General features: G+C 45.2%; 1 long non-coding RNA gene and 1 other non-coding gene across 3 annotated transcripts, besides 4 other annotated features; one reads left to right on the top strand and one right to left on the bottom strand.

Annotated features, from left to right (window-relative positions):
- Positions 1 to 3,405: 3,405 nt before the first annotated feature.
- LINC01719 (long intergenic non-protein coding RNA 1719) lies at positions 3,406 to 9,609 on the bottom strand. 2 transcript variants are annotated; one of them, NR_125967.1, is made up of 4 exons: positions 9,257 to 9,609; positions 4,217 to 4,511; positions 3,744 to 3,892; positions 3,406 to 3,647 (listed from the first exon to the last, which is right to left on the bottom strand). It is a non-coding gene; the product is annotated as a long intergenic non-protein coding RNA 1719 (long non-coding RNA). The 2 variants fall into 2 exon arrangements; NR_125968.1 differs by lacking the exon at positions 4,217 to 4,511.
- Positions 9,291 to 10,022: an enhancer, noted in NCBI's record as "NANOG-H3K27ac-H3K4me1 hESC enhancer chr1:145382090-145382818 (GRCh37/hg19 assembly coordinates)". NCBI's record gives its function as "activates a minimal SCP1, AML or CMV promoter by ChIP-STARR-seq in primed H9 embryonic stem cells {active_cell/tissue: H9 hESC(primed)}" and the evidence as "EXISTENCE:reporter gene assay evidence [ECO:0000049][PMID:30033119]".
- Positions 9,291 to 10,751: a biological region, named in NCBI's record as "NANOG-H3K27ac-H3K4me1 hESC enhancers GRCh37_chr1:145382090-145382818 and GRCh37_chr1:145382819-145383547".
- Positions 9,872 to 10,111: a silencer, noted in NCBI's record as "silent region_1275". NCBI's record gives its function as "represses an Ori minimal core promoter by ATAC-STARR-seq in GM12878 lymphoblastoid cells {active_cell/tissue: GM12878}" and the evidence as "EXISTENCE:reporter gene assay evidence [ECO:0000049][PMID:35858748]".
- RNVU1-6 (RNA, variant U1 small nuclear 6) lies at positions 9,961 to 10,124 on the top strand. Its single transcript, NR_104085.1, has one exon. It is a non-coding gene; the product is annotated as an RNA, variant U1 small nuclear 6 (small nuclear RNA).
- Positions 10,023 to 10,751: an enhancer, noted in NCBI's record as "NANOG-H3K27ac-H3K4me1 hESC enhancer chr1:145382819-145383547 (GRCh37/hg19 assembly coordinates)". NCBI's record gives its function as "activates a minimal SCP1, AML or CMV promoter by ChIP-STARR-seq in primed H9 embryonic stem cells {active_cell/tissue: H9 hESC(primed)}" and the evidence as "EXISTENCE:reporter gene assay evidence [ECO:0000049][PMID:30033119]".

Raw genomic sequence — 12,386 nt, 5'->3', positions numbered from 1 at the left:
GCTACTTGGGAGGCTGAGACAGGAGAATCGCTTGTGTACCTGGGAGGTGGAGGTTGCAGTGAGCTGAGATCACACCATTGCACTCCAGCCTGGGCAACGAGAGCAAAACTCTATCCCCCCGCAAAAAAAATAAATAAAAATAAAAGAATATCAAGCAGCCAAAGAAGCAGGAAAACATGACACATAATGAAGAATCTAATAATCTAGTTGAAATTGACAGACATGTTGGAAATAGAAGAAAAGGACATTACAGCAGTTAGTATAATTGTATTTTAATTAAATGGGGAGGTTGAAGATTTTTTAAATATCAAATTCTGTAGATAAAAAGTATGATTTACAGTCTGAAATGGAAGAAGGCAGTGGATTAAACATTGCAGAAGAGAAGATTATTGAACTAGAAGGAATAGAAGTTGAAACTAACATAAATGAAACACACAGTAACAAATGACTTGAAAACATAAAAACACCATCGGCATCAAAACTTTAAACGCCCCAGTATAGGGCTAAATGGAATCCCTGAAGGGCGTGTAGTGGAGAAGAGAGACAAAGATATTTAAAACATACTGGATGAAAGATTTAGAAGCTCCATGGAAACCATAAACTTCAAATATTACAGAAATATGATTATTCTAAGAACAAGAAACATGAAGAAAACTTCACCAAGGAACGCCTTAATCAAATCCATCAAAACCAGTGATAAAAAGGAAATCCTAAAAGGAATAAAAAGGGAAAGAACATGTTACATACAGAGCACTAAATATAAGGATGGCATAAGATTTCACATACAAACAAGAAGTTTGCAATAAAGAACTTAAAAAAAGAAAAACTGTCACCTACAATTCTACACCTGGCCAAATTATCTTTTAAAAATAAACATGAGAAAAAGTATTTTTGAACAGAAAACAAAATGATCTCAATTTGCAGATGGTGTGATCCTATGCATAGAAAATCCCAAATAATACCTACAGATGCAAACACACATACATGCACACAGAGGCCAGACACACACACACACACACACACTCACATACACACACTACTAGAGTTAATAAGTGAATTCAGCAAACTTTCAGTAAACAATCAGTTGTGTTAGCAATGAACAATCTGAGAAGAAAATTGACACAATGATTTCATTTATAATAGCACTTGTAAGAATAATATGCCTGGGAATAAATTTGTTCAAGAAGGTGCCGTACTTGTACACAGACAACTACAGAACATTGCTCGAGGAGATTCAGGAAGACCTAAATCAATGGACAGACATCTTGTGTCCATGGGTTGGAAGTTGTAACATGGTTAAGATAAAAATACAACTCAAAGCAACCCACAGATTCAATACAATCCTATCAAGAAGTGGCCTTTTTTACAGGAATGCCTAAGAAGAACTTCATATTCCTAAAAAATAGTGTGTCCCCCCAAAACAAAAGCAATCTTGAAATGCAAGAAGAAACATTTTCTATTCCAAAGGTCTTTAACTGCTCTAAGCAGTACTTGGTAGTCTTCAATATATAGGCTTTCATATCTCTTTTTTTCTTCTTTTGTTTCTGCACAGGATCTCACTCTTTCACCCAGGCTGGAGTACAGTGGCACAATCACAGCTCACTGCAGCATGGAATTCTCAGGCCTATGACATCCTAGGGCCTCATCCACTGATTCCTGGGACTACAGGCTCACACCACCAAACCCGGGTAATTTTTCTGATTTTCAGTAGAGATGAGGGCTCACTATGTTGCCTAGGCTAATTTCAAGCTTCTGAGATCAAGCAACCCTCCTGCCACAGCCTTCCAAAGTGCTGGGATTCGAAGCCAAGCCTGGCTGGCTTTCATGTCTTTTCTATGTAGTTTATGTTTCTGGATGCCATTGAGAGTCTGGCTGGCTTTCACATATTTGCTATGTCGTTTATATTTCTTGATGTTATTGTAAATGTTTATTAAAGGAATCTTTTAAAAACTTTGTTTTGGCCAGGCGCGGTGGTCCACGCCTGTAATCCTAGCACTTTGGGAGGCCGAGGTGGGTGGATCATGAGGTCAGAAGATCGAGACCATCCTGGCTAACATGGTGAAACCCCATCTCTACTAAAAATACAAAAAAAAAAAAAAATTAGCCTGGCGTGGTGGCGGGCGCCTGTAGTCCCAGGTACTTGGGAGGCTGAGGCAGGAGAATGGCGTGAACCTGGGAGGTGGAGCTTGCAGTGAGCCAAGATGGTGCCACTGCACTCCAGCCTGGGAGACAGAGTGAGACTCCATCTCAAAAAAAAAAATTGTATTAAAATTATATATTTAAGGAATTACATATATATTTATATATATATAATACATATCCTTAAACTATATATATTTAAGGAATACAACCTGAGGACTACATATACATATACATAATGAACTAATGCCTACTAGGTGAGGGGCTGCCTTGTGAGCAAACCCAAGGTCCCTGGCTTATGAAGCCTTTGTCTAGAAGGAGGGAGGGATCAGCAAGGTGGGCACGCAGCAGGTTCTGTCTTTGGTGTGGGCATCTGCCCACTCGGGTCTCTGGCAATACTAACCAGGCTTCACGATGGGTGAGGTGAGCTAGGAATGGGAAAGTGGATGACTTCAGATCCAGAGACTGCAGTTGTCACCTGGGGACCTGGCGTAGGCGTGGAGGAGTCTCCCACTGACTTGGCCCTGGGTCAATGCCCAAACATGCACAAGGACGGGACTCTCGGCCTCAATGCTTTAGGAGCCCCCAGTCTTCTAAAGAGGGTTTGTGGTGGGGAACAATGTTCAACAAAACAGAAGAGTTATGGGTGCTCTAGCTTGGCAACGGAGAATACTTCCTTGTGCTACTAAATGCCAATATTTGACAATTACGGATGACACAATTGAGCAACAGCATTCACTGTTTAACAAGCAGTGTCTCTGGAACACTGGGTTAGTGCTGTCAGATGTTGACTGAAAAGTCAGTGGTTTGAGCCCATCCAGTCATATTAATGTTTCTAGCTGACGTGACCTTCCATCTGAAGAGTCTCTTCCTTGGACCAAATATCTCTTAAAGCTTCTCTTCTTCTTGTCTCTTGTCTATTTTCTAAGGTGCCTCTTTGTTGCTTGGGGCAAAAAAAGTCCATTTTTAATCCACACCCAACAAACATCTACCCTTACGTATCCGGTTTTTAGGGTTTTGAGTTTGTTGTTTGTTTTCTCAGCTTCTCATATTTGGAATACTGGAAATTCCTAAAGTGGAGAATGACAGAACGTGAATCACAGCTATGGTGAAGCCACAGGCTCTGGATGAAAAACCTAATCTGCCAGGGTTTGAAGTTAAACACATTAATCTTCTGTGCCTCCATTTCTATCTGTCCAATGGGATAAATCAGAACACTTAGGTTGTCCAGTGTTTAAATGAGCAGTGCAGGAAAAGCATGGAGCCAATGCCTGTCACGTAGTAATTGGTCCACACGCATGAGCTCCTATCAGCGCCATGGTCTCCAGCATTTCCATCAGGTTTTGATCTTTGAAATGTCCTTCTTGATATGAATGGATCATTCCTCAAACATTCTCTAACCGATGGCCATGAAATTGCTCCAATGTGTATTATTACAAATACAACTGCAGGGACCAGACTGACACATGTATCTGTCGTGCATCACTTGTCTATTTCTCTGTAGACACCTGGAGATGGAATTGTCAGACCAAAGTATTTATACATGTTTGATTTTGCTAATTTCTGTCTAAATTACTGTGAAAAGAAGATATAACAGGTCATACCTTTAACATTTTTTGAGAATTCTTTTTTCTCCATCTTCTGGCCAAAACTGGGAAGTACTTGCCTACCATTTCCTCTGAACTCACTTTTGCCAACATTTGTGTAGTCATACAGTGGGATCACATTGTATGCAAGACATCAAACTCAAATCCTTAAATGAAAGCGATTAACATGACTGTGTAAAAATTTATCTTCAAAATACAATGAATACATATATACACATACTTATATGGGAAAGGAATTATTTTATTTGGATACTTTATCAAAGTTATATATATTTGAAAATTTGTTTAGTAAAATAGCAGTCCCCTTGTGTACTCCCAGAGTTTCATCACATAGAAGCAATTATTTCGTTATTTATCTCCTTATGTCTAAATAGATATTATTACTTTTTGATTTTCAAGTTTAGGCACTACCTCTCCTTCACATACTTGCTCATCACCACCACCCCCAAACACGCCTCTCACCACCTTACCCTCCAACACGTTTGTGTCCTCGTTTGCTGGGTCAATTGCTACATTGTTATAACTTGTATATTTTATTCAGAGTTCAGTCACATTGGATATACATAGCAGGAATGAGAGGCCAGTATCTTCAGGGACTCTCTCTCAAGTAGATAAGCTTCAGAGATTTTTGTAATCTTTGGTCACTCTCTCCATCTTTTTCGTATTCCAGGTAAGTACTGGATCTGATGGGCCCAGCTCAGGTCAGGCACTCTCTCCTTGAGCAGGGGAGAGCGGGACATCTTCATGTGTAGTACCAGGAAGACACTGTCCAAAGAGGGACAGGTAGTTCTAAGACAGAAAAGTCTGTCTGGGGTACAGGTAGGCAAAACAAGGACACACACACAAAAATTAGTCTGTTCTGTGAGGGGAGCATGCAGTAGAGGGTGGATTCAGAGTGGGAGGGGAGAGTTTTGAGAGATATGGGCCATGGATATCACTCTGTGGGCCGGAGCCACACAAGACGGTTGGGGTCTCTCAGGGGCAGGGAGCTGAGGAGGATCTGCCCTCCCCAACCTGGGAGACTGGTGAGGGGACTGTCCTGGTCACCAGACAGAAATGGGGTCTGGGCCAGGGCAGTTCTGGTGGGAAAGAAAGAACAGGACATCTCCTTAAGGAAAGGTCCTGAGTCAGGTCTTGGCAGGGAGGGAGGTTACCTTGCCCATTGGCAGCTGAAGATGGTTGGCCAGATGAGGGCACTGAAATCCATGTCCTCTAAACTTGTAGTTCAGTAAAAGAACGACAGCAGTAAAGGGTCTTTAGGAAGAGGAGGTGGAAGACCTGATTTGGGTTGGGGGCTCCAAGAAGAATGTCTGCCTTGCTGTGCAGAAGCCTCTGCATAACCTCCCTGGTCCCCTTGCTCAGTCTCCTGGCCAGACCCCTGTGAGCCCTGGAAGTGCACAGTCAGCTTAGCCAAGGCATCTCCAGCTGGGACTCATCCCTGGGCATTTCTGTGGCCTTGGGTTCCCTGGCCTCCTCCAGGCCCTGTCTTGCAGGCAATCGTCCTGCTAGGGAAGGGGGAAAGGAGGCTACTTGACAGTTAACTCTGAGCAGCTCCACAAGGTCCTGACTTAGCTCCTAGTCACTTGCAAACCTATATACCCCCATCTCATCCCCCAAACGATGAAAAGAAACTTTGCAGGACTCATGCCAGACAAATAGAGTGGGACCGTTCTGTAGAGCCAAGTTCTCAGGACATCAATAAGAGATGGAAACCACCTGCTGGAAGGTGCCACAGTGGGAACTTTGGGGCCAGGGAGCAGTCACTGAACTGTCAGGGTGAATCCTGGCTCCTGGCCCTCACACACCCTTTCTCCCCCTCCCTCCTTCTCTCCTCCCTCCTGTCTGCTCTTTCCCCTCTCTCTCCTGAATCCCTCAGGTACCTTCCATGGGCCCTGACCCCTCCTTTTCAGAGGCTCCAAAGTGAGCCCTCAAAACACTTGGTAACCTTGGACACTTCCAAAACTGGAGAGACTTGACCACAGCATTTTTATGAGCTAGGAAGGTCCTCCAGAGCTCTTGCCTAAATTTTTCTGCTGATGAGAAGAGAACAAGAGTTTCCATCTGATCTGGTCCTAAGGCAACTTCTCCTTGGAGCAGAGTCTGGGCAGGAAGAAGGGGGTTGCCCAGGACCCTGGACTTGCCCCTCCCAGCTGCTCTGCTCCTCTCCCCTTCACTGCGGGAGGCTGGCCAGGGATCAGGAACCTCCGTTCTCCACAGATGCTGGGATTCCAGGCTCAAATCTAAATATTGGCTGATTTAGGAGGCGAAGGGAGGCAATTCCCTGGAGGGAGGTGTCAGGATTTGGGACAAGAGCAGCATCTAGTTGTCATCCACAGAGACCCCAAGGACAGGAATCCACTGGTAGCCGGTTGGAGGGGATCCCATGAAAACAAGATGAAACGCGCCATTAGTACTGGACCCAAGATCAGGAGATGAAAAACTGCACTGTCCTAAGGGATGAAAGAATTAGGGAATCCTGGAAGTAAAGTTTTTCATATAGGTCATTTCTTCCAAAGAGACATAGGGCAATGGCCCAATGACATGAACAAAAGAAAACTCGGGGTCTAGGATTGAGGGGAGGCAGCCTTTTTAGTGGAGACCTGTGACCTGGAGGCCCAGGGTCACCCTGAGAGGGGAGGGGTCTTGCTGGTCGCTGGGTCCGGGACTCCAATTGCACACAGCCAGTGGCATGGAGGGTCTGTGACCACGATTGGGCAATTTCCCCCATTCTGCTTATGGAGCAATAGAGAGGAACCTCACTGGAATTATACAGAAAGGTCCCAGTGAGACTTGAACTCTGATCACTGTATTCAGAGTCCAAAGTGCTCACCATTACACCATGGAACCTCACACTAGCTTATAACTGGAGGTAACTGAGTTCATACTTAGCAGCCATAGTTCCCACACACCTATGTTAAGGCATTTCTTCTGATCCCTCAAGCAACACCAAGGAAGGTGGACCTGCGAGAGAGGAGTCATCCTCTTTCTTTCTTTCTCTCTGCCCTCTCCTTTGATCAACTTTTATCATTTCATTTGCACCTCAGAAAATGAGGCAAAATCCAGTTTGGGCTTAGGGCCAGAGAAGAGCCCTTGAGGCCTCCCTCTGGAAAACATACTCTCTCAGTTTACCAGAGTTTCCTGTACCAAGGGGAAATTTCCGCAAACAGTAGTGTTATATTCTTTTTGCCTTCCCTCTTTTCCCTTTGCCCAGGGAGGCCAGATGATTGTGAGAACAGGACTTGGGACTTCCTGTGTGTCTTGCCCCCTTCCTCCATGTGATAAATAATGGCTGACACCAAGCAAGTGGGATTGGGAGGCAGGGAATCTTTCATTTTCTTCTTCATATACTTCTACGCATTTGTTTGGTTGGTTTTGGCAAGATTTTCTCACCAGAAATGGAGATTTGTTGGATTTAAAATAAAAAGTAATCAGCCATGTTTTACATTTCTATAAAACACTCAAACCAGGCCATACTCCCCTGCTGTGCCTCAAAATCAACCATAAACTGTCGAGGTCAGGAGGCAGGGCCCTCACACTTAAGCACAGTGTGTTTCCTCAGAATTGGCCAAGTTGATGCCACTCCAATTTCTCAATATACCACAACCCATTAATTGCGGTTTTTAAAAGTGTACATGTATTTTTACCAAAACCCCAGGGCTTCAGTGTTCTCAGCACACAGAAAGACAATCATTGAGACATTGAGTATTGCTGAGGAAGAAGGCTTTAATCAGGTGCTGCAGCTGAGTAGACAGGAGATGAGTCTCAAATCTGTCTCCCTGATTGACTAAAGTTAGGGGTTTATATAGCGCAGAAGAAAAGTTAACTGTGTGTGGGAAAAGAGGAACTAGAGAGGGGTGAGGAAGCACTCGTGATGAGTGAGGGGACTGGCATCTCATTGTCTGGATGCTGTGATTGGCTGAGTTTCGGGTCTCTGATGCTTTTTGAGAGGCCTGAGAGTCCTTTCCTGAGGAAGGAACTCAGATAAAACAAATGTAAGTTTGTTTTATAGAATGGCTTGACCTCAGGAGTTTGAAACCAGCCTGGGCAATATGGTGAAACCCTGTCTCTACCAAAATACAAAAAGAAAAAGAGGGTTGCTTCCAAGATGGCTGAATAGGAACAGCTCCGGTCTACAGCTTCAAGTGAGATAGACGCAGAAGACAGGTGATTTCTGCATTTCCAACTGAGGTACCTGGTTCATCTCACTGGGACTCGTTGGACAGTGGATGCAGCCCACGGAGGATGAGCCAAAGCAGGGTGGGGTGTCGCCTCACCCGGGAAGTGCAAGGGGTTGGGGGATTTCTTTTTCCTAGCCAAGGGAAGCTGTGAGTGACTGTACCTCGAGAAGCAGTACACCCCTGCCCAAATACTGTGCTTTTTTCCACTGTCTTTGCAACCGACAGACCAGGAGATTCCCTCTTGTGCCTGGCTCGGCAGGTCCCATGCCCATGGAGCCTTGCCTGCTGCTAGCACAGCAGTCTGAGATCAACCTGTGACACTGGAGCATGGCAGGGGGAGGGGGTTCTGCCACTGCTGAGGCTTGAGTATGTGGTTCTATGGTCACAGTGTAAATAAAGTGGTAGGGAAGCTCGAACTGGGTAGAGCCCACTGCAGCTCAGCAAGGCCTACTGCCTCTAGATTCCACCTCTGGGGGCAGGGCATATCTGAATAAAAGGCAGCAGACAGCTTCTGCAGACTTAAACGTCCCTGCCTGACAGCAGGGACTGCTGTCATAATCATTATGATTATGAATCATAATCATGAAGACAATCTGTATTCCAGAATAGTAAGGGAACCTATTCCATCAGGGAGCCAACTGAAAACATCAAATCCCAGTTCACACCCCAGGGTGTGGTGTCATGCACCTGTAGTCCCAGCTACTTGGGAGGATTAGTAAGGAGGTTTGCTTGAATTCGTGAGGTCAAGGCAGAAGTAAACCCTGATCATGCCACTGTACTCCAACCTGGGCGACAGTGAGACCTTGTCTCAGAAACAAACAAACAAACAAAAAACCCCACAAAACCAAACAACAACAAATTGTCACCTCATTCTGAAATGACAGTGGCAAACATCACTTTGCTATTTGAAAATTAAAAGAAGCCGGGCGCGGTGGCTCACGCCTGTAATCCCAGCACTTTGGGAGGCCGAGGTGGGCGGATCACAAGGTCAGGAGATCGAGACCATCCTGGCTAACAGAGTGAAACCCCATCTCTACTAAAAATACAAAAAATTAGCCGGACGTGGTGGCAGGTGCCTGTAATCCCAGCTACTGGGGAGGCTGAGGCAGGAGAATGGCGTGAACCCGGGAGGCGGAGCTTGCAGTGAGCCGAGATAGCCCCACTGCACTCCAGCCTGAGCGAAGAGCGCGAGACTCCGTCTCAAAACAAAAAAAAAGAAAATTAAAAGAAAAACACTCCCTCTTGCTATCAACCTGCCCTCTTGCTCTAACTTGTCTGACCCATGGTTTAAAATGCCCAAAAGCTGATGTACTCAAATTATAGTACACTTACCTGTTCTGCACCAGCATTTACTTTTGTCTGGAGGAGATCACCATGCATGGTCCTATACATGTCTAATGGCATGGAATGATGAAGGGTAGTGTCTTTTAGGATAGTTGGATACATATATATATATATATATATATATATATATATATATATGCGGAATGCTACATCACAAGAATAAGAATGTGAAAAGAACCAGTTTCTTTTGTAATCCTAAACGTTCTAGTCTGAGAATTAAAAGCCATTGTTCGAAGAAGGGTGCCCAGGGTCCAGCTGGTCGCCGAAAGCTTGCTCCGCAATACAGGCTAAGGACCAGCTTCTTTGGAAGAGAACAGATGAGGGAAGCAGGAGAGAAAAAAGGGAGAGGCAGACGTCACTTCCCCTTGCCGGCTCCGGCAGCGGGTTGGTCGGCTGAGCGGCAGAAAGGCAGACGGGGACTGGGAAAGGCGCTGTCGGTGACATCACGGATAGGGCGACTTCTATGTAGATGAGCCAGCGCAGGGGCTGCTGCTTCGCCACATGCTGCTTCGCCACGAAGGAGTTCCCGTGCCGTGGGAGCGGGTTCAGGACCGCTGGTCGGACCTGAGAGTCCCAGCTGTGTGTCAGGGCTAGGAGGGCTGGGGGGGAGGGGGGTGTGCGCGGGGCAAGTGACCGTGCGTGTAAAGGGTGAAGCGTGTGAGGCTGCCGGCGGGGCGGAGGTGCAATAACTCATACTTACCTGGCAGGAGAGATACCCTGGTCACGAAGGTGGTTTTTCCAGAGCGAGTCTTATCCATTGCACTCCGGATCTGCTGACCCCTGCAGTTTCCCCAAATGTGGGAAACTTGACTGTATAATTTGTGGCAGTGGTAGACTGCATTCGCGCTTTCCCCTGTATTTTTGTCGTTTTAAAAATAGGTTTTGTTTGCTGCAGAAACGCATACTGGGCGTCAGCGTAAGCTGAGAATCAGGTCTTTGTTCCCATCTGTAACTTCACTGAAACTAAAAATTTGGGACATCGTGGTTCTCACGTTTGTAATCCCAGCAATCTATGAGGTACGTCGATAGGTTATGTTTATGTTAATATCGCTCGACCTCAGGCGTGTGTGGGCAAATATAGTGAACCCGTCTCTACTAATCTCTTATCTTTTTTTGTTGTTGTTCTATAGAAATAAAACTAAGCTTTTCTTTTCCCTATGGGATTAACAGCAAACAGTCCGCTGGAGTGTATGGCGCGATCTCGCCTTACTGCAACCTTTGCCTCCTGCGTTCAAGCTATTCTCCTTCCTCAACCAGAGAATACTCAGCCTCCCGAGTAACTGGCATTACAGGCTCAGGCAACCAAAAAATTAGGTCCGGCTAATTTTTTGAATTTTTAGTAGAGACATGGTTTCACCGGGCCGGGCGCACTGGCTCGCGCCTGTAATCCCAGCACTTTGGGAGGCGGAAGCGGGTGGATCATGAGGTCAGGAGGTCAAGACCATCCTGGCTAACACAGTGAAACCCCATCTCTAATAAAAATACAAAAAAAAAAAATTAGCCGGGTGTGGTGGCACGTGCCTGTAGTCCCAGCTACTCAGGAGGCTGAGGCAAGAGAATCGCTTGAACCCGGGAGGCAGAGGTTGCAGTGAGCTGAGATCGCACCACTGCACTCCAGCCTGGGCGACAGAGTGAGACTCCGTCTCAAAAAAAAAAAAAAAAAAAAAGAGTGACAGGGTTTCACCATGTTGGCCACCCTGGTCTTGAACTCCTGACCTCAAGTTTTCCGCCTGCCTCGCGGCCTCCCAAAATGTTGGGATTACAGGCCTGAGCCACCGCACCTGGCCTGTTTACAGACTTTACAGACACATTTTGTTTACAAGCTTTACAGGTACAGTTCAATTGCGATTAGTGTATATTATGTTTGGCCCAAGACAAGTGTCTTTTTTTTTTTTCCAGTGTGGCCCAAGGAAGCCAAAATTTAGACAACCCTGCTCTAGAGGGTTTGATTCATGGTTCCACTGGGTTATGCTTATTGCCTATAATTCCATTTGATATTTTCCAAATTTGATTTTTTAAAAAGCGTTTTCCTGAAGCACCCTAAAGCTTTCCTAATAATATGAGAACTTAAACCAGATTGGATGTGACAAAACCCTGCTGGAATCCTGCAACTTCTAACCTTAATGTTAGATCAAGAAGCAAAACACCCACCAGTCCAAGGGTCAGGGAAGCTGAAGATCATGCCTGAGCTGTAACAACGCCCTTCCCAGTATACAAAAGAGTGTAACAGCCACTCGAATTCTATCTTCCAAGTGTCTCCTGTTGCCCAGGCTAACCTAGAGCTATCTAAAGATGGCAAATCTGGGAAATGTGCATTCAGCTTGGCAAAACTGATACATTACAAATCCACCACAGTCCACTTCTTCTCAAAGTGGCATCAATGTACATCTTCCTCCTCTTCTTTTTTTCCTCCTCTTCCTCTTCTTTTGCTTCTTCCTCCTCCTTTTTCCTCCTTGTAAAATCATACTTAAGGTTCAAATAAAGACAATATGAAAATCATACTTTTTCTCATTCAGTGAAAATATGCCAACCCTTTCCCCAACAGGATAAAGTCTTTGTCTTTGAATGATGTTCACTCCTTTTTTAGCTAGATAGATCACATTCCATATTTGCTTTCCTGTAACCTAAATATTGAGATTTCTAAAAGTTAATTATTAATGAATGTGCTAGCTAGGGTGATGGAAGAGGAGAATTCTCAAGAAAAGTTTTGGTTAATATACACCCAAATGTATTCATCTCAAAATAATGAAGAAATACTCATAACTATTACAAGTCCTGATTTCTGCAACTGGCACTGGCACTAGCTGGTATTTGTAACTATCTTCACATCTTGTACCCACAGCCAGTTCCTTTGGGCCTGGGCCGGTGGACGTGAGCGTGGGAAGGACAAGAACCCGCGGTGCCCCCCACCGCACTATCCTCGGGTCTCCAGAGGTGGGATCCACCGGGCAGGGGCCTTTGCTGGATTCTAAACCGGCTCTGGGGATACAAGAACAGCTGCCTTTGAGAAACAGTTCAGGTCTCTATATTCCAGACTTCCTAGTAGGACTAAACGCTTAACGTTCACACGGGAATTCATGGTTCTCCTAAAACCCTGCGGTGGAATGCCTTCCTTCAC

Source organism: Homo sapiens, chromosome 1 (assembly GCF_000001405.40).
Source record: "Homo sapiens chromosome 1, GRCh38.p14 Primary Assembly".
In the NCBI taxonomy this organism is placed as follows: Eukaryota; Metazoa; Chordata; class Mammalia; order Primates; family Hominidae; genus Homo; species Homo sapiens.
The sequence above is the reverse complement of the archived record's forward strand: the minus strand, read 5'-3'. Positions and strand labels throughout refer to the sequence as shown.